Source organism: Homo sapiens, chromosome 1, assembly GCF_000001405.40.
Source record: "Homo sapiens chromosome 1, GRCh38.p14 Primary Assembly".
Lineage (NCBI taxonomy): Eukaryota > Metazoa > Chordata > Mammalia > Primates > Hominidae > Homo > Homo sapiens.
The window spans coordinates 63,712,404-63,734,039 of NC_000001.11; the positions used below are offsets into that span (position 1 = coordinate 63,712,404).

The following is a 21,636-nucleotide window of genomic DNA, read 5'->3' on the forward strand; positions in this document are numbered from 1 at the left end:
ACACTGGGTAAAATGGAAGATGCTTGGGTTTTGTGTGAATTTTGGAGTAAGAGTGATTTAGGTTCAAGTCTTGGCCCAATTGTAATTGTGGGTAAGATCTATTTTATTTTATTTTTTAAAATTTTTATTTATTTATTTATTTATTTATTTATTTATTTAGAGATGGAGTTTCACTCTTGTTGCCCAGGCTGAAGTACAATGGCACGATCTTGGCTCACCGCAACCTCTGCCTCCTGGGTTCAAGTGATTCTCCTGCCTCAGACTCCCCAGTAACTGGGATTACAGGCATGCACCACCACGCCTGGCTAATTTTGTATTTTTAGTAAAGATGGGGTTTCTCTGTGTTAGTCAGGCTGGTCTCGAACTCCTGACCTCAGTTGATCCACCCGCCTCAGTCTCCCAAAGTGCTGGGATTACAGGCGTGAGCCACCGTGTCTGGCCAAGATCTATTTTAAACACACCCACACACCCCTGGCATTTGCCCTTAGAAACTGTTAGAACAACATGTCTACCTTGCCCTTTACCTTGATATCGTTGAATTTTGCCACTGACAAAATGTCCTGGTTCTTGGGCTAATGATGTCTCAACGAAAGATAAGGATTAGAAATACTTTGTTTCTAAAGATCTTCTGTTCTTTAGCTGATGCCTGCGTTTCTGTTCCTTGTCCTTCCCTAGTACATTCACCAAGCAAAGTTGCAATGGCAGGAGCCCTTCTGGCTTCTCCTAGGGCCACCTGCACCTGCCTGCAGTCCAGATGGCTGACTTCCCCACTTCCTCCTTCATTACCTCTCATTAGAGAAGCAATTGGACCACAGGTTTGGACTGACCAATGAATAAAGGGCAAGGGGCCACTTCAAGGTATTTTTAGTCTTAAAGAAACTATAAAACCAACCAAGACACAGCAATGGGAGGACTCCAGGCTCGAAGGCAGTAGGCCCAGAGGACAGCTCGGCATGAGTGCACCAGCTTCAGAGTTGTGCTTCTTGGCTGTTCTTCAGAGTCAGCAGTTGTTCCCTCAATGACTTTGCAGAAGTGGCAAGATGAGGTTGGTGGGGAGAGACAAGCGGCATGGGTTTGTAAGACCCTTACTGTCAGCTGACCCACCCGCCCTGCTAGGTTCCGGCTGCCGTGACCACAGCCTTCTAGTTAAAAGTAATACTTTTCTTCATATTTTATGGCAGATAGTTGGGATTTTGACTTTGCCATTGCAAATACACAGAAAGGAAACAATAACCCCAGGGGTGAGGAGCGGGCAGAATAATTCAAGATATTAAAGTCAGAACTGGGTCACTGGGCAGGAATTAGAAGAGGGAGCTTGTGCTGTACAGACCTCTAGGAGCTACCAGCAAATACAGTGCTTACTTGCACTGTGACTTTGAGCCAGGTGCTTAACCTCTCTGACCTTGAGGTTCCTTATCTGTAGAATGGGCTAATCCTTCCCATGATGCAGAGTTGTTATAAATATTAGAGAAAATGTGTCCAACATACCTGGCTATTAGTGCCCAGAGTGACCTTAATATGGAAATAGCATCTGGTCAGAATGAAGGGTCCCACCCTCCATGTGCCCTGAACACACAGATAGTATAACTACAACCATGCACTATCCCACCATATTTTAATGGCATGCGGTCTTTCTCACTGGTGTGTAAACTGTGAGGAGAGACTAAGATTCATCTCTGTGTCCTCAGGGTGTGGCTGGTACCTGGCACCATGTCAGGCTCAGAGTGGATATTTTTGTACTTTGAAATTGTAAATTAGTATTTAGATGATGAAAACCCCTCATTCTTTCTCTCTTTCCTCTGCATTTGCCTCTTTTGTTTCTTAAATGTAAAGGAATTTAAACCAAATAGGCTTTTTGTGATCAGATTGGGCTAGGCTGTGTTTCAGTAACAGCCCACTCTGAAATCTCAGTGGCTTAACTTAACAAAAGTTTATTTCTGACTCATGCAAAGTCCCCTGTGGTTATGGGCGACTCTCCAGGGCAGCTGTTCTCCATACAGTGGCTCAGAAACCCCAGGCGCCTTTGATCCGGTGGCTCCATCATCTCAGCACAAGGCAAAGCGAGAGCCCCTGGAGAGCTGCACCCTCCAGGCTGTGCTTCAGCCCAGAAGTGCTACCTGTCACTTCCCTGCAGAGCCCCTTGGCCAGACGTAGTCACGTGGCCACATCTAACTGCAAGATAGCTGGGAAGAGTAGTTTTCAGTGTGCCCAGGATGGAGAGCTGAACTGGATCTTAAGGTGTCCTAATCATGCCCAGTGTAAGGGCTCAAGCTAAAATGCAAAACAACCAAAAGCAAAAGTGGAAAAATCACCCACATTTGTTGTTCCTTTTATGAAACATACATTTACTTATTTATCCAATGAATATTTGTTGAAAACCTATAAGGTACCAAGCATTGCTCTAAGTACTGGGGCATAGTGGTGAATAAAAAAGGTCCCTGACATCATGAGCTTATATTCTGTTGGGGAGTGACAAACAATAAATAGGTATATAAACTCTCAGATGGTTATATGTGCTATGAAGGAAAATAATAAAATAGGGTAAAAGGATAGAAAAGGAGAGAGGAAGTTACTATTTTGGATGTGGTAGTAGAGGAAGTCCTTTCTGAGAAGAGACTTGATGAAGTAAGAGATGACATGCCAGTACATGAGGTGGAGGAGAGGAGACTTTGTTACAGTCAAAGGGAAGACTCAGTGCAATGATTAGTTCAATCATTTAGTTCATTAATTCATCAAACATTTATTGAGCTCTTACCACTGTGCCAGACATTCTCTAATAGAGTTGGTGATATAAATGTGAATAAAACCCAGATGGCAGCCTCCAGAAGTCCACAGTTCAGTAGGGGACATAGATGTGCAAGCAAATATATATACTAAGAAGTAAGGAGTCAGATAGGACACAAAAGAAAGTGAAGTTTCCGTTTGGTTGGAGAGGGTCAATGAAGATGTTATACAAGAGGTGACTTAATAGTCTAAAGTAGAAATTAAGAAAGTCAGCGATTAAGATAGAAATGTTGTATGCATTATTTATTTCTTTATAACACAATACCCCCAAACTATGGCTTAAACCATATTTTTTTATTTCTCATGATTCTGTGGATTGGCTGGGCTCTGCAAGACCATTCTCCTGGCACATCTGGTATTAACCAGGTCACTTGTGTGAATACATTCAGCTAGGAATCTGGAAGGGCTGAATATCCAAGATGGCTTTATTCCCATGTCTGGTGCCTCACTGGGGGTGGCTGGAACATCTGGGGATGACTGGGCCTCTCTCTCTCCCTATGTGAGGTCTCTTTTGTAGTCTAACTTGAACTTCTTTACATGGTAGATGAATCCCAAGAGAATGAACAAAGGCTGCAAGGTCTCTTAAGAACTGGAAGTTGGCCGGGCGTGGTGGCTCACACCTGTAATCCCAGCACTTAGGGATGCTGAGGCGGATGGATCACCTGAGGTCGGGAGTTCAAGGCCAGCCTGACCAACATGGAGAAACCCCATCTCTACTAAAAATACAAAATTAGCCGGGCATGGTGGCACATACCTGCAATCCCAGCTACTCAGGAGGCTGAGACAGGAGAATCGCTTGAACCCGGAGGCGGAGGTTGTGGTGAACTGAGATCGTGCCATTGCACTCCAGCCTGGGCAACAAGAGTGAAACTCCATTAAAAAAAAAAAAAAAAAAAAAGAACTGGAAGTCACAGGATTATTTCCACTGCATTTGATTGGTCAAAGCTAATCAAAAAGGCAGCCCAAGGCTGGCAGCAGTGGCTCATGCCTGTAATCCTAGCACTTTGGGAGGCTGAGGTGGGAGGATTGCTTGAGCCCAGGAATCTGAGACCAGCCTGGGCAAGCTGACAAGACCCTGTCTCTACAAAAAACAAAACAAAACAAAACAAAACACAAAAACTGAGCATAGTGGTGTGCATCTGTAGTCCTAGCTACTTGGGAGGCTGAGGCAGGAGGATCCCTTGAGCCCAGGAGTTTGAGGTTGCAGTGAGATTCAAGAGGAGGGGAAACAGACTGAACCTGCAAGCCTGTCCTGGCTGGGAGGAATTTTTGGAGACCATGTTTTCAGATGATCTATTAATGCCCTGAACATTAACAGTACAGTAAAGCAGGTGTGTCTGTATGCTTCCATGCCACCTTCTCCCCACCATATGTGCCTGTGCAGAAATCACTAATTGATTTCAGCACACTTACCTGCTGAGCCTAGGCTCTTTCTCAAGTCAGTACCTCAGGTAGATTGGCCAGAGTTGGGGCAAGAGATGAAACTCATTTGCCATCCCAACCAGAAAGGAATATAGAAACCGCCAAAATTGTATCTCTGGTGTGAGTATACTGACTATAGCTCTTGGGTCTGCAAATGAAGAAGGATGGGGACAAGCAATAAGATTGTGAGTCATGCTTTTTGTCATATTTTTGTAATAAGTAGGCAGTTTTAGATGCCCAGGGGATGTAAACATTAAAAATATTGTATTATAGGGCAAAGATGGAAAAAAGAGAAAAAAGCTCTCAACAAGGGGATTGAGTGAAACAAGCATGGCTGGCCCAGAGAGAAGGGAATTTGGAGGGACCCAGGAAGGGGAGCAGGTGACACAGGCTTGTCAAGGGGTTCTGGAGTGAACAACTTTGGTCTGAATGGGAAACTGTACTTGGTTTCCAGCCAGAATGAGCTTGGCGCTCCCAAGCTCTGAGGTTTGGGTAACTAGTCTAGTTGGGATTAGCAATATAACAGGTTGGAATGTAATGGCAGCTTTATGTGTCCAGCTGTGCTAGCTGAATTCTACAGCAAGGTTCAGTGCCTGCATTTGACCTGTTTCCAAGGGGTTGGAATCCCCAGATGTGTCATAATGTGTTAAAATCAGTTTTGTGCTTTAAACTGCTGAGAGTGTTGTATTTCAGGTACCTCATCATAAAAGAAGGTTACAGAAGTTAGGGCTGCACCTGTAAGGACAGAGGTAACATAGAAGAAATCTATATTATTGCTTTTGGTGGTGGTGGCAGCTGAATTAACTAAGCTCCAAAGCAATGGACAAGCCATCTTCCGAGAGATTGGACATATGGCATCTCCTGATCCTTAAAATTGTAGATTATTTTAGCCCTACCTCTTCAGCAAAGCAAAATCCTCATGTAGAGGGACTGTGTGTGATTTAAGGCAAAATGTCTTTCCCTTTCCCCCAGCCGGGGGTGATGTGGTGGGAAGTATGTTGGATTTGGACTCAGGAGGGGGATTACCTAAACAGCAACTGTAGTGCATAGTGGGTTTCGGTGTCATCTAGACCTGGACTTGAAGCCAGACTCTGCCATTTCCCAGCTGGATAGCTGGCATGCCTTAGTTAGCAAGTTTGTAAAGTCATCACTTTACAAAGTAGATAATGATACCTACTTTTCAGAGTTTTTGTGAAGATAAGCATCTTCAAAGTACTAGTGATAAAGGAATAGTATTTGCAGAGCTCTTGTCGTCTGGTACCATCTCTCATCATTTTATTAGTGCTTATCAGCCCACAGGCCTTCAGATGAATGACTTTCTTTCTTAGCTAAAGCATTTGAATTCGGCTGCAACTTAGAGGGAGCTAATCCAGTTGCCAAATGATCCCAGAAGTAGTAGTCCAGATCCTCTCCCTAACAAGCAGAGGAAGATGCTTTTGTGTAGAGGCTTCAAATCAGACTATCTGTGAGGCCAGGTCACTGTAGGTTCTGGAATTCAGGGAAAAGCTTTTCCCCAGATAAAATAGAAAATCGCATTTCCTGACATCTCAGCCACCATCTGGGTTTCTGTCTACATCAAGTATCATATTTTGGCTACTGTACCCTGTTAAAACATTTACCATAAACTCTCCCTCAGAATATTTCAAGGACCTCCCGATAAAACTTCCTAACCAGAAAAACCCCTTTGGAATACAAGAGATGGTCATGGATTAGGAGAGGGATCAAAACACTTCAATTCATCACATAGCAAACCTTCTCTGCGGGGGCTGTCACAAGGATATTTTATGGAGAGATTCCTTCTTTTGTTTTATTATCAATGTAATGTCTCTTAACTCCAAAATATTTCTCTATTGCCATGTGCTACAGTGTTTGTCTGATTCCGATCTGGGCAAGGCTCAAGGCTTAGTTCAGATTCCCTCCTAAACATTCTAGAAATGCTCACTGTGTTTCTGGTTTCAGGGTATTTGCCACTAAGTTTCAGTCTTGCAGCTGCTCATGTGTTCTGGTGGCAGAGAGAAGCTGGGGGGTTATCGCATTCAAGCAGGTACTGAGAGTCTAATGCAAGCCAGGCACTGTGCTAGACAGTGGGGTGCGGAAAGCCATGAGACAGGCTCAGCCCTGGGGTGTTCACAATCCGACCAAGAGCCTGTTCTCAGAAAGGGTGGGTAGCCTATGTGTAGTGTACCTTACTGGTTTAACTGACCATCTTTGAGGTGGAATGAATTATTCCACAACAACCTAGAACTTTGGCACTTTGGCCTTATCTGCCATATTTAGTTAAGATAATGCTAGATGTCGCAATATACCTTCTAAATGTAGAATGAATCAACAGAGTAGAAGTTTATTTCTTGCTTACATTGAGCCCAAATGCATGTTTCCAATTGCCAAGCTGCTCTTCTCCAAGCAGAGATGCAGGGACCCAGCGACTGAAGGAGCCCTTGTTTTTCCCAGTTGCTGGGGAAAGTGGTTAAAGAAGGTGCCTCACTTCTGAAACACTCCAGCCCAGAAGCAACAGGCATCACTTCTGCTCACCTTCCACTGGTGAGAACAAGTTACATGGGCACACCAAGATGCAAGGGGAAAGAGAGACCCTGGCCTGGCAGTCCCTTTCTGGTGACATCTCTCCACTATGAAAGGGGAACATGAACCTCTGTTGGACAGCTATCTGTCTTGATCACATCTGCCCCCCATTGGTAGGTAAAAAACTTTGATTACTTCCCCACTGATTTGCTTGTCTGCCTCCTTTTTGTATCTCTGGTCATGTATCTTACTCAAGGATCTTCTAATTCTCTTTCTAGTATAATGTGATTAAAAGAACACTGAGCTAGAATCAGAAGACCCGGGTTCTGGAATTATTCACACTTCCTCACAGGATGATCTTGAGCAAGTCATTTTCCCTCATGTGTCTGTTTCCTTATCTGCAAAATAAAGGTATTAATAGCTACTATACAGGGGCGTTAGGAAGATTAAATATGATTCACATCCAAAGTACGTAGTATAGTGCCTGACAAATAAGAGAAACTCAACATATATTTAGTTATGAATTGAATGATGAAAGGAACTTTTATCAGTCATTTTCCTACCACCTTCTACTGGTCCCTGTGGCTGTGTGTATTGGCATTATTTAGGTATATGGGGGCATGGGGAGGTGATGGGAGGGGAACTGGAGTTTTCTCAGCTACTCAATAAAGTCACTGAAGGCAGGAACTATGTGTGAGCTCCCTTTTATAGGTCCCCCTTCAGGCACACAGAGCAGATGCCTAGTAAACTGGTGAATGCATTTTGTTGAATCATGGATGAGCGTTTACACCATTGCCTCCAAGGGGCTGAATACTGAGGCAACCACAGTTATGGCTGTACCCTAGAGCTGGAGCTGCCTCATCTCCAAGAATCAGACTATGTTTGTTCTTCTGGTTCCAGGGTGAAAGGCAATGTTTCCAAGGTGGGAAGGTCAGTCCTGGTCCTTTCCTGACTGAAAATGTGAGAGGACCCTTCTGTTCACCAGGCAGATGGCTTCTGGCCTCTGAGCTGACCTCAGTAGTCAAATTGCCCACTTGGGTAGTCAAAGCAATAAGTCCTTCTAGCAAACCATAGGCAACTGCAGTTAGGCTTGAGTTTGATATTCAAACTCAAGTCCTGAATGGGCCACTAACTTAACAGGGCTGAGTGGTCAAGTGAAAAGACCAGGGGCTTTGCAGTTCCACAGCGCTGGCTTCAACTCTAGGCTTGGCAGGGAGGCTTTAGGAAACTTCTTCAGCCATCCCAAGACTCAGTTTCTTCATCTGCAAAATGAGCACCACCATCCTGCCACCCTCTCTTCCTTTCCCCTTCTCGTACAGGGTTGCTGAGAAGCAGATGCATATTAAGGTTGAGAGGTTAGGCTCTGGAGGCAGACTCCTGGTTCATGTGATTGTGGCAAGTTACCTAACCTTTCTTTGCCTCAATTTCCCTGTATGTAAAATGGGACAATAATACTTCCTACTATATATGCTTGTGAGTTAATTTATGTGAAATGCCTAGAATAGTGCCTGGCAATCAATAATAAACAATCAACTATAATAAGTAATTAATAGCTACTATTATTTTTAAATCATTTATTTTACTTTTTAATTGACAAGTAATTATTGTACATATTCATGAGGTACATAGTGATATTTTGATACATATGATGTGTTGTGATTAGATCGGAGTAATTAGCATAGACATCATCTCAAACATTTATCATCTCAATGTTTCAAATATTCGATATCCTCCTTCTAGCTATTTGAAACTAAATATATTTTTGTTACCTATAGTCTTCCTACAGTGCTGTAGAACACTAGAATTTATTCCTCCTATCTAGCTATAATTTTGTATCCTTTAAAAAATCTTGGCTGGGTGTGGTGGCTCATGCCTGTAATCCCAGCACTTTGGGAGGCCGAAGTGGGAGGATTGCTTGAGCCCAGAAGTTCAAGACCAGCCTGGACAACATAAGAAGATCCTGTATCTGCAAATAAATTTTTTTAAATTAGTGGAGTGTGGTAGCACATGCCTGTAGTCCCAGCTACTTGGGAAGCTGAGGTGGGAGGACTGCTGGAGCCTGCAGGGTCAAGGCTGCAGTGAGCCATGACTGTGCCACTGCACTCCAGCCTGGAAGACAGAGCGAGACCCTGTCTCTAAACAAAAGCAAAAATAAAAATAAATCCCCTCCCTCCCTCTCCTCTACCCTTCTCAGCCTTAGTATCTTCTGTTCAACTTTTTACTTCTATGCGATCAACTTTTTTTTTTCAGTTTCCACATATGAATAAGAACATGTCGTGTTTTCTCCTGGCTTATTTCACATAACATAATGTCCTCTAGTTTCATCCATGTTGCCTGGAACGCAGGATTTCATTCTTTTTTATGGCTGAATGGTATTCCATTGTGTATATGTACCACATTTTCTTTATTCATTCGTCTCTTATTGGGCATCTAGGTTGATTCCATATCTTGGCTATTGTGAATAGTACTGCAATAAACATGGGGGTGCAGATGTCTCTTAATTGCTCTTATCAGAACTATGATTACTATTAGGAGAATTCAATGAATGTAGCATTGTTTGATAACTCTGAAGTCACAACCCTTAGATTTTATTACTAAAGCAATAGGCCTTCCCTGATCCCCACTGAGTCATGCTGCTGCTGCAGCCCTATTTTCTGGTCTCTTTGCAATTGTGGGAAATTTCTCAGCACCAGTGGGGGCACTTGCTTGACTTTTATGCTTCTCTTTGCTGTGGCTGAGAGCTGGTGGGCTTCTTCCATGTCTGGGCCTGTGCTCTGGTGTATTCTACCCTACAGTGCTTAGAATACATGTTCCCTTCAGTGCAACTCCTAATCGCACTCACTGAAGCATATCTGCATGTTTGTACTATCCCTGGAGTGAGAGGGAATTGGCCCCAGGCCAGCACCACAGACTACAGAGGGGAAACTGCGATGCCAGGGTCTCTTTTAGTGTGAACCATCTTCTGATACCCTACTCTGGGAAACTGTGGGACATGGGGTTAGTGGAGGGAAAGACCACCCACCTGGAGGTTAAGAGGGTGGGGCTTGGGATCTGACAAATCTGCATTTGAATCTGTTTCACCTTTCCGTAGTTGAGTTATGTTGGCTCATTGACTTCACCCTTCTGAGCCTCAATTTCTTAATCCAGAAACTGGGCATAATAATACCTACTCTATAGTGGTGTTGTGGATCAGATGATTCAGTAGCTGGCATGTAGCAAGTGTTCAACTAAAGCCAGTAGGCCACGAGTCAGCGAAACCGGGTCCTAATAAATCAGCTACAAATGTTCTGCAAAGCACTGGGCAAGTCACTTAACATCTCTGGGTCTTCATTGTCTTCATCTTTATACCATGTCAGTTTAGCTAAGCTGGAATCATGTTTCCCAGAATTCCTTTTCCTGTGCAGATCTGATTTTAGAGTTGGCCACAACACAAATCTGTGCTAGATCTGGAAGACGGAAGTGAAGCAGTAGCCATTTTTATGCTGTGGCAGCATACACCCTGTTGCTAATCTGCTTGCTCAGCTTGATGTGTGGCTGCCCAGGTCCTACAGCTCCTTCAGCTCCTGCAAGATCCTTTAGCTTTTTCAAGTCCCATGCCAGGCTGTGTGCAGTTGCATGCTGCATTAGTCAGGGTTCTCTAGAGGGACAGAACTAAGGGGATATATATATATATATATATATATATATAGGAGTTTACTAAGTGTTAATTCACATGATCATAAGGTCGCACAATAGGCCGTCTGCAATCTGAGGAGCAAGGAGAGCCAGTCTGAGTCCTAAAACTGAAGAACTTGGAGTCTGATGTTCGAGGGCAGGAAGCATCCAGCATGGGAGAAAGATGTAGGCTGGGAGGCTAGGCCAGTCTCATCTTCACATTTTTCCGCCTGCCTTATATTCTAGCCGTGCTGGCAGTCGATTAGATGGTTCCCATCCAGATTAACGGTGGGTCTGCCTTTCCTAGCCCACTGACTCAAATGTTAATCTCCTTTGGCAACACCCTCACAGACACACCAAGGATCAATACTTTGCATCCTTCAGTCCAATCAAGTTGACACTCAGTATTAACCATCACACGTGCAAAGAGCACAGCTTCTTCTGCAGGTCCTACACAACACTGAGGGTGGAGGACATGGTAGACAGATGCAGCTTCCAGTTTACCTTCATGGGTTCCTCATTTTCCACTAAGTTCCAGTTCATTCTTGGTCTCCATCACGTCATGTCCAGCTGTCCTTCCTGACTTCCAGCCTGGCTGACCTGTATGAACTTTAGGCACAACACACAACACAGACACTTCAGCAGCCAATGCAATTGTGTAAGGTCTAATTTCTAGAATACATTCCTTATTCTATGTCAGTCTTAGTGAATCTACGTCTCTGCTCAAACTCTAACAGATACAGTGGGGCTAGTAGCAGCAACCTCACAAGGTTACTTGAAGGATCAAATGAGATAATGGATGAGAAACTGCTTTGAAAAGTATAATGTGCTTTAGGTGTGCCTTTTAAAAAAATCACATATAGAAAAATGTATTAATGAAACTCAAAAGTATAATTCTTTCAGATATTTTAAAAGCAAAACAAAACTGCAAGCAGAACTCCTGGTCTCCCTAAGCCCTGCTCCACTATTTTCTCTCCAGTTGCTCAAGCCACAGTTCCTAGATGACCTTTGACACCGTTCTCTCCTACACACCCTTGCACATATTCAGAGCTTAGTCACATCTCATTGTCTACACTGCTAACACCCTGGTGCAAGCCACCATGCCTCTTGTCAGGATTATGGCAACAGTCTTCTCCCTGGCGCCTTGCTTCTACTCTTGCCCCAAAATGATCTGGTAAAAACTCGAGTTAGATTATCTCATTCTCTGCTCAAAGCCAGTCAGTTTCTTCCCTCTTGGAGGAAAATCCAAATTCCTCTCGATGACCTGACAGGCGCTTGGCTCTTCCTGCATCTCTCATCTCATTTCCTACCACCTTTTCCCTCGCTCACTCAGCTCACCATACTGGCTTCCTTGCTGCCCTTAAACATGCCAAGTGTGTGCCATTTCCTAAAACCCTTTCTCCTGTTTTTCAGAGAGAAGGAATCATACCCTGAAATGATGTGTCTCTAGTGTGACTGTTGGCTTAGACACATCTGGGAACTTCGCTTGCCACCCGTACCCAAGTATTTACCAGTAAACTATACGACCACAGACCAAGCTGGATGCCATTCTGGAAAACGCTTTTTACCAAGAATTAAATGTGAAGTGAGGTTGCTGTTAGTCTTATGGTTAACAATGACAATTTAGATTTTAATTATTACTACCCACAACAACATCTTGCATCTCTGTAGCTATCCAGGGTTTTCAAAATGCTTTCATGTCTGTTATTTACTTTGGTCCTCACAACAGCACTAACAGTTGGGTATTATTTTCCCCTGTTTTACAGATAGGAAAACTAAGGCTCAGAGGAATCAATCAACTCCAGAGTCAAAGAGATAGTGGTTGACAAGATTAACTTTCAGGCAGATTTGCTGAGTCAAGGCTGTGTACTTTTTGTACTACAATTAGGAGCTTGCCAGGAGAACCTTATTCCTAAGTAGGGTCAGATGCAATGCGAAGAGTTATTCTTGCCATTGCCACCGCCCATGATTCAAAATGCTCCCAGCATGCCGAAACTTTTGAAAATTTTACACTTCCTTTTCAATGCAAATATCCCTGGGATTTGTGTGCAGTCAACCAGTTTGCTTTCCTCCTGAGGTACCACCACAGCAGAAATGGCCTTTTTTATTAATTAGCTGGGTGTGGGGGTGTGCACCTGTAATCCCAGCTACTCAGGAAGCTGAGGTAGAAGAATCACTTGAACCCAGGAAGGCAGAGGTTGCAATGAGCCAAGATTGCACCACTGCACTCCAGCCTGGGTAGCAGAGTGAGACTATGTCTCAAAAAAAAAAATGGCCTTTTTTGTTTTATGGGAAATTAAGGAAGAGAGAAAGGAGAAGTGTTAGGTGACAAAAATTATTGGCTTAATGAGACTTTAATCATGCTCCTGAACCTTCTCCTAGGCCCATCTGTACACTTCCTTAAAAAATCCAGTTTTAACAAGAACCCTGCTAAGTCATTTTAGCAAGAATGCCCCACCCTCTGTATATGATCAGGTTTCTCATCCTCCACCCTCCACCATCCCCCAGGTGACTTCAGACCACCCTGGCCTGCCTTCAGCAAGAATCCTGTTAGGTCTGTGTATTAGTCAGTTCTTGCACTGCTATACAGAAGTACCCGAGACGGGGGTATTTATAAAGAAAAGAGGTTTAATTGGCACACAGTTCCGCAGGCTGCACAGGGAGCATGATACTGGCATCTGCTTGGTTTCTGAGAAGGCCTCAGGAAACTTACAATCATGGCAGAAGGTAAAGAGGGAGCCAGCATATCACATGGCTAGAGCAGAAGGAAAAGGAGCAAGGGGAAGAGGTGCCACACATTTTTAAACAACCGGGTCTTGCGATCACTCACTCACTATCCCAAGAACAGCACCAACGGGATGGTGCTAAACTATTCATGAAGGACCACCCCATGAGCCAATCATCTCCCCCCAGGCCCCACCTCCAATACTGGGGATTACAATTCGACATGATAATTTGGTGGGGACATAGATCTAAACCATAACAGTCAGTTTAGCCAGAATTCTCCTTACTAATTTCTTAGTAATTTTCCATCCACCCACTCCCACCATGCTCCTTGGCTATAAATTCCTACTTACCCATGTTATATTCAGGGTTAAACCCAATCTCTCTCTCACTCTGCAAAATCCCATTGCAGTGCTCCCTATACCTATTGCAATGATCATGAATAAAGTCTTCCTTACTGTGCTTTAGCAAGTATTATTGAATACTTTTTCTTTTGGCATAGGAAGTATATCATTCGGGTAAGTTGAGTAGGCATATTATCCTCACCTTTTGATTAGGCAATATGATTCAAAGTGCTCAAAACAAGTTGTCGAAGGGCAAAATCATATCGTGTTGTTTCCCTTGTAGAATGAAGGGTATTGGATTAAATATTGCTAAATTTGTTTCTAACATCCCATGAGCCCAACTTACTGAACTTTTGCAGCAAAGTTGTGATGAGGGGACTGCAGAGAAGTGTATCCTTTAAAAAAGTTAGTAAAGGTCATATTTCTCAGCACTACAGGCCTGCCCTATAAAAGCAAACAAGTGTTTCAAAAAAAAATGGGATTTTCTGTCACTCAAGTAAGAACCTTGATTATATCACTGGGACATTTGTCGCAGACCAGAATTGCAATGTTCTTGGCAAAGTGGAAAAGATTCTGGAATTTGGAGCTAAGAAACCCTGAGTGTATGTGTCATGGTTCTCATACTTATTGTTTATTACTAATACTATTACTATTATTTTGGGCACTGATACCAGTATTTTGTGTTTTCCCTGCATTATCTTACTTAACTCATCCCACCCCACAGCAATTCTGTTAGGGAGATGTTATCACCTCCATTTTATATATGAAGAAATGGAGGCTTAAGATCACAAAGCTGCTATGTGTAAAAGCTGGGATTTTTTTTTTTCTTATTTTCTTTTTAGAGACATGGTGTCATTTTGTCATCCAGGCTGGAGTGTAGTGGCATAATCATAGGTCACTGCAGCCTCGAACTCCTGGGTTGAAACAATCTTCCTGTCTCAGCCTCCCAAGTAGCTGGGACCACAGGCCTGCATGACCATGCCAACTAGGGCTGGGATTTTAACATGGGTCTCTCCCACTCTAAAATTGATGTTAGTCACGAGTTTCAGGGAGGGCACAAAACTAGAGGTGATTGCTTTAATTGAATTTAAAAGATTTTAGGTAAAGTCCATTTGAATCCTGAAGGTTGCTTACTACTATGAGATACTGCTTCTTTGCAGGATTGTTTTGAGATTAGGGAAACCCATTGATATGGTTTGGCTGTGTCCCCACAGAAGTCTCATCTTGAATTATAGCTCCCATAATCCCCATGTGTCATGGGAGGAACCCAGTGGGAGGTAATTTAATCATAGGGGCAGGCTTTCTCATGCTCTTCTCATGATAGTGAATAATTTCAGGAGATCTGATAGTTTTATGAAGGGCTGGTCCCCTACACATGCTCTCTTGCCTGATGCCATGTAAGATGTGCCTTTGCTCCTCCTTCACCTTCTGCCATGATTGTGAGGCCTCCCCAGCCATGTGGAACTGTGAGTCCATTAAACCTCTTTCCTTTATCAATTACCAGTCTTGGATATGTCCTTATAGCAGCATGAGAATGGACTAATACACCCATATAAAGGACCTAGCATAAGGCCTGACACATAGTTGGTACTGAGTAAATGGAACAGGAGATGGTATAGGATGGCGACTGGGAACCCCGCTCTGGAGTGAGACTTCCTAAGTACAAATCACTTCTTCCACTTAGTAGCTGTGTGACCTTGGGAAAGTGATATAACCCCTCTAAGCCTAACTTTTCTCACATATAAAATGGGGATGATAACCAATGTATTCCAAGGATTAAATGAATGAACTGATATGCATAAAGAACCTAGTACTGTTCCTGGTTCATTGTTGTCATCAGGAAATTTTGACTATTATTGTTATTAATATGATTATTTTTTTCAGTCTCCACCTGTGCTGCTCACTCCACGAACAAGGATGGTGGCAGGAGTTGTGGTGAGTAGTGAATGGGGAGGGAGGTGGATATGGTTTGGATGTGTGTCCCCTGTAAATCTCATGTTGAAGTGTGATCCCCAGTGTTGGAGGTGGGGCCTGATTGGAGGTGTTTGGGTCATGGGGCAGGTCCCTCATGAACATCTTGGTGAGGTCCTTGGGTAAGGAGTGAGTTCTTACTCTGTTAGTTACTGTGAGATCTAATTATTAAAAAGAGTCTGTGACCAGGTGCAGTGGCTCACACCTATAATCCCAGCACTTTGAGAGGCCAAGAACGGAGGATTGCTTGAGCCCAGGAATTTGAGACCAGTCTGAGCAACATGGTGAAACCCCATCTCTACAAAGAATAAAAAAAATTTGCCAGGCATGATGTGTGTGCCTGCAGTCCCAGCTACTTGAGAGGCTGAGGTAGGAGGCTCACTTGAGACCAGGAGGTTGAAGCTGCGGTGAGCCATGGTTGTACTACTGCACTCCAGCCTGGGTGACAGAACAAGACCTTGTCTCAAAAAATAAATGTATAAAAAGTAAAGAGTCTGGGGCCTCCCCACTCTCTCTCTTGCTTCCTCTCCTGCCATGTGCCATGCCTGCTCCCCCCTTGCTTTCTGCCATGAGTAAAAGCTTCCTGAGGCCTCACCAGAAGCTGAGCAGATGCTGGTGCCATGCTTGTACAGCCTGCAGAACTGTGCCAAATAAATCTCTTGTCTTTATGTTACCCAGTCTCAGGAATTACTTCATAGCAATGCAAAATGGACGAACACAGAAGTGAACACCCCACATTTCCTTGGGGCCTCCTCTTCAGCAAGCTCCCTAGCATGATGAGAAGCCCTCCAAGGGTCTGCTGGACCCATTTCTCCATCTTCTATCAGCTCGAGCTCCCTTGAGTGGCTTGGATAGGGGGCACTGGTGAACTTGTGAGGAGAGCAGCTTACGGCCTGCGGTAGGGGACGGCAGAGAGTGAGGCATGAAGGCAAGCAGGAGAGGAGAGTGCTGGCGTTCCTGGGAGGTGGGGCGGAGACACTGGGAACCCCAGGCTGGGTGTCAGATTCCCAAGATGTGGTGGTTTTGTATTTACATCCCTGTGTGGGCAGGTGGCCAGGGGGCCAGGGACTCAGGCAGTGAAGCCTCAGGCTGACTGTCACAGGTGCAACACTGGCAAGAGGGGGCTGGTAGCTGGTTTTTCCAAGGGCTCAAGGGCACCATGGACTATCCAGAGGTTTTGTGCTCTTTCTTGTGACAAAGTGTCTAAGGCCTCCAGGCTGCCCAAGCCTCAGGTCAGCAAAGGTAAGAGAGGGTGTGGGGTGTGCGGTGTGGAAAGGCCTGCTCCTATCAGATGAGGATGCTTCTCCTGTCGAGAGGGCTTGTGTGTAACTGGGGCCATGGACCTGCCCAGAGATGAGTGACCAGCACTGCTCTTCAAGCAGTTAAAGCAGCCTGCTCTCCCCAGCAGAAATGAACACGAAACAGCCAGACATCAGACCCTGCACTACCTCCTGTCTCCAGGATATCCCAAGAGGCTCCTGGGGCATCACCTCTGGCCTCAATAATGGAGTTGAATTTTGAATGTTTTTCCGTTGTCTTTATCTTTTCTAATGCTGGAAATATAATCTGTTCATACTATGTGGTAAAAATGAGGGAAAAGATTATGTCGACCACAATGACTACCACAGTGGAAAAGAGCACGGTGTCTGACTTGTAGTTGTTGCTCAATAAATATTTATTGAATGGCTGAATAAAGCTCATATAGGGAAAAAGACTTGAAGGAAAAAAGTCCCTCTAAAACGTTGTTATAGGCTGGTGGTAGGATTAGTGGTGATTTTTTATATTTTCTCTAGCCTCTGGAGTTTTGTATTGTGGTAATAAGGTTATTATAATAACAGGTAATTATGACCAAAAGAAAATTAGAGCCAAAATTAAGTGGTCATTTTCATATGAAGCACACCCCTGCTTGCAGCATCAGCAGTTCAGCTGTGGGAACCAAGGCCTGTTGAGGGGACACATTTTTACATCTATTTTAGGTCATCTATTTCCACCTCTGCTCTTCCTCTTCGAAAAGAAGGAAATCTATCTCTACTCCAAGTGAACACATGCTGACCTTCTTCCTCCCTGAGCTAATTAGTGCCTCGTCTAAAATCCTGCTGAGATTCTAGAGAGACAAGGTTTTATAGTAGTTAAGGGGCTTTAGGATAGACACATCATCTGGGTTCCTTATAATGTACTGTTAATTCTGAAAAAAATTTCTTCATGATATATATATATTCTTAAAAAAGCATTTTCTCCTGATTTTAACACTGCATTGCAACCTAGATAAAGTCGGCAGTAAGCAGTTGGTCCCTTTACTGTGAACTAGCACAGTCCTAAAGATTGTTGTCTAACCAAGAACAGATTAGATTGGGGGAAACCTACTCCCAGGCCTCCCTGTTCTTTTATGAGGAATTGGTCCTAAAATATTTACCCATTATCTTCCAACCCCATAACCCCCCAGGCTAAAATGAAGCCTGCTAAGGGAGCTGTGGCCGTTTGGGGATTAGGCCAGAAGAGCTGGCTCCTGTGCTATCGGGTGACAAGATTCAGAGACAAGATAGAAGCACCTTCCTCATCTCCTGAGACCTAGTTGCCAACTCCACCGGAAAGTTACAGTTGCTATGGTGACAGGCTACATAAGGCACACTCAGCAGAAGTGCCATTTAAAAATAACTCCACCTTTTCTTTCTCCTTTTCTTTCCTTTTTGTTTTGAGACAGGATCTAGCTCTACCACCCAGGCTGGAGTACAGTGGCACCATCACAGCTCACTGCAGGCTTTACATCCTGGGCTCAAGCGGTTCTCCTCACTCAGCCTCCCAAGTAGCTGGGACTACAGGCATGCACTACCATGCCCAGCTAATTTATTTATTTATTTTTTTTGTAGAGATGGAGCCTCATTATGCTGCCCAGTCTGGTCTCGAACGCCTGGTCTCAAGGGATTCTCCTACCTCAGCCTCCCTAAATGCCGGGATTATAGGCATAAGCCACTGCACCCGGCCCTCCACCTTTCCTTAAACTATTTAGAAACCCTCTTTGACACAGGGTCAGGTTAAGATGCTTGAACTTTTGGGTAAAGAACAAGGCTGGGTGCGGTGGCTCATTTCTGTAATCCTAGCACTTTGGGAGGCCGAGGTGGGTGGATCGTTTGACTCCAAGAGTTCGAGACCAGCCTAGGCAACATGGCGAGACACAGTCTCTACAAAAAATACAAAAACAAATTAGCCAGGTGTGATGGTGTATGCCTGTAGTCCCAGCTACTCAGGAGGCTGAGTGGGGAGGATTGCTTAAACCTGGGAGGTTGAGGCTGCAGTGAGCCATGATGGCGCCACTGCATTCCAGCCTGGGTGATAGAGCCAGATACTGTAAAAAAAAAAAAAAGAAAAAAGAAGAAAAAGAAGAAGAAGAAGAGGAAGAAGAAGAGAAAGAAGAAGAAGAGGAGGAGGAGGAGGAGGAAGAAAAGGAAGGGAAAAGAAAAGAAAAATAACATGTCTGAGAATTTCTGGAATGCATCCTGAATTCCTAATAGAGATTCCTGGAATGCATCCTTCACACCAGGGAATTTCCATTCCTTTCTTACTGGGCAATTGTTATGGGGATCTGGATTTATTTCTGGCTCTGTCACTAACTTTTTGGGTAACTCTCATTCAACTCACTTTGCGTCTTGAGGCCTCAGTTTCCTCATCTGTAAAATGGGAACAATAATCCTCACCTCATAGGGTTGTTGTGCAGATGAAATGAGATGAAATATGTGAGAAGACTCCCTTCCCTCCTTTCTCTACAAAATGTCAGGACTGTGCCTATCACGGGAGAACAGTAGTATTCTCCTCAGTGCAGATTGTCAACCGCTGTACCAACTTGTGCTAAGTCTGTTCACGCATACCACCTGAGTCAGAACTTTTCATTAATGCCAGGGGAATTCCATCTCAGCTCCCCCAGTCAAGGAGTTCTGAGTCATGTTTCATCAAGGATTTATTGCAGGAGTACTTTGGGAAAGAAGGACGCGTGCTGCTCTGAGGAACTGGGACCACACCCTGGTGCTTGGGAATTGGTGGCGGTGGTTGCATTTTGTTGTTGGCTTGTTTGTTTTAAAACATCCACATCCTGTCCCACAGCTGGAGCATAAAATCAAGCTTTAGTTGTGGGATTTTTGTTTACTTTATTCACTAGTTGGGCTGGTCAGGAGTTTAACGGAGGTCAATGCCTTTAACATTGCTTGGATTCTATAAAGAGAATTCTAGCAGTTTGTGCTACGAAATATCCTAGTGTAAAAGAGGAACTTAAAAAAATTGACTCACACGGTCTGGTTGCTTTTAGGATAAATTAATTTTTGTTTTGCTTACAAAAATAATAACAACTTCTGAATGTTTATATGTTTTCGTTTTGCACAGGAAGCTTTGGCAATAGAAAATGTTGGTAGAAAAAGTAATTAAAGAAATAAATGTGGCAACTCTCACAGCTGTAAATCATTGATTTAGTCCCATTTGTCCCACCCCTTACCCCCCAAAAAAAGAAAGAAGAAAGAAAGAAAAGAGGGAGAGGGAGAAAGACAGAGAAAAAAGAAAAAGAAGGAAAGAAAGAGAGTTAGCCTTTTTGCCAGAAGATCGTTCCCTGTCAGTTTTCAAAAATCTTCCTCATGTCTCTTCTCACAGAACATTTCAGAGGTCTGGAAAATATTTGATTTGTAAAGACTGAGAGTAGACCAAGTAGAGCTTTTTAAAAATATCTTTCAAAATTGAATAACACCCTGTGCTGTTTTCATGATAAACATAATACTTGTTTATTCAAGAAAAATGAGAAAATATTGAAAAGCACAAAGGGAAAGAACCCCTGTGCCCAGCTGCAACTGTGACTGACATTGGGTGTATTTTCCAGCAGTCTTTTTACTTTACCTGTGTCTCCTCACTTGTTTTTGATGGAGATAATGATGGGGTGTATGTGCATTTGCACTCTGGGTCTTTCACATAACAGCAGCATTTGCTGAAGGCTCTCTGGGTGCAGGTACTGTCTACCACTGCTCAGGGCCTTTAAGCCAGGCTGACAGTCTCACATGTCCACTGGCTCATTATCCACCAGCAGCAGCAGCTACATAACCATGATTCAGTTTCCCTCTGTTTCCTTGGCACCACAACATGTGAAAACAGCTGGATGAATTTCATCCAGTTTGAAGGGTATTTGAAGGTGGTTTCACTTCAAATATGGGGTATATGGCAACAATTTCACCATGGGAAGCTCAGGGTGGAGGGGAGCCTCGGTTTTTTATTTCCACCCAGAGGGGGACTGTGACACTTCATTCTGAAGATTTCCCTGAGTTCGGACATTTACCTTATTTAAGGTTTGCTCTAATTTTATGGATGGGGAACCTTCTGGGTTCATTATATTTCCAGAAATCATCATTTTCCCCCAATGGGTGCACATAAGAAATTATACCTTACTGGAACCCCTTTAAAGGCATTAATTCAATGTCGGGAAGGATTTTTTCAGAAGAAAACTTTTTTAAAGAGTCTAAAATGTTAGTCAGAATGGGAAAGATGCTTGAGGCCCAAAGAAGCGACATGCAATGAGATTTCTTAGGGCAGTTCACCAAGAGAGACACACTTTTCCAAGGCACCTGGGGAAGATGTCTGACTCGGGCATTTTGAAACACCCAAGTCGATGGGTGTTCATCCTCCAGGCAATGAAACTTAGGCACAAAGAGAGGCCCTTATGATGCCAGTTGGGAGATACAGCTCATTGGATTAAGCTGTCAGGGACATACAAAACCAACAGTGGTTTCAAATATGAGGCTTAACCCAAAATTCCTCCTGGCAGATACTCCACAATATAACAATGAAGCTGTTTCTCACATGGCAACTCCTCGGACTCTTCAGGGTGAGACGTGAAGATGTGTTTATACGTATCCCAACAACTAAAGTGTGTATACAGACACTTTTTTTTTATTTACTGAGCTGAAAATTATTAGAGGTCTCTTTGAATTATTATATCTCTGAACATTAATTTTCAAGTAGTTTCTATTAAACTTGATGATTCTTCTGAGCAATGATTGCTTGAAATTATAACAATGGCTATTTTTATGGAGTTAAAACACTCACTAATACTCAATTAGAAATATGCTAGATGCTGTCCTTAGTACACTACATGCTTGATTTCAAATAATCCCTACAGCAATTCCAGGAGATGGGTATAGGCACACCTCATTTTATTAAGCTTCACTTTATTTTTATTTTATTTTAAACA

The 21,636-nt window shown here is 43.5% G+C and overlaps 1 long non-coding RNA gene across 2 annotated transcripts in view, besides 3 other annotated features; it reads left to right on the top strand.

Annotated features, from left to right (window-relative positions):
- Window positions 1-15,649, top strand: part of LOC105378771 (uncharacterized) — a 59,685-nt gene extending 44,036 nt beyond the window's left edge. For both annotated transcript variants that reach the window (XR_947457.3, XR_947456.2), the window contains exons 2-3: window positions 15,333-15,383; window positions 15,609-15,649. This is a non-coding gene — a long non-coding RNA (uncharacterized LOC105378771). The remainder of the gene's footprint in view (window positions 1-15,332; window positions 15,384-15,608) is intronic.
- Window positions 1,671-2,172: an enhancer, noted in NCBI's record as "NANOG hESC enhancer chr1:64179745-64180246 (GRCh37/hg19 assembly coordinates)". NCBI's record gives its function as "activates a minimal SCP1, AML or CMV promoter by ChIP-STARR-seq in naive H9 embryonic stem cells {active_cell/tissue: H9 hESC(naive)}" and the evidence as "EXISTENCE:reporter gene assay evidence [ECO:0000049][PMID:30033119]".
- Window positions 9,523-10,022: an enhancer, noted in NCBI's record as "NANOG-H3K4me1 hESC enhancer chr1:64187597-64188096 (GRCh37/hg19 assembly coordinates)". NCBI's record gives its function as "activates a minimal SCP1, AML or CMV promoter by ChIP-STARR-seq in primed H9 embryonic stem cells {active_cell/tissue: H9 hESC(primed)}" and the evidence as "EXISTENCE:reporter gene assay evidence [ECO:0000049][PMID:30033119]".
- Window positions 19,346-19,901: an enhancer, noted in NCBI's record as "H3K27ac hESC enhancer chr1:64197420-64197975 (GRCh37/hg19 assembly coordinates)". NCBI's record gives its function as "activates a minimal SCP1, AML or CMV promoter by ChIP-STARR-seq in primed H9 embryonic stem cells {active_cell/tissue: H9 hESC(primed)}" and the evidence as "EXISTENCE:reporter gene assay evidence [ECO:0000049][PMID:30033119]".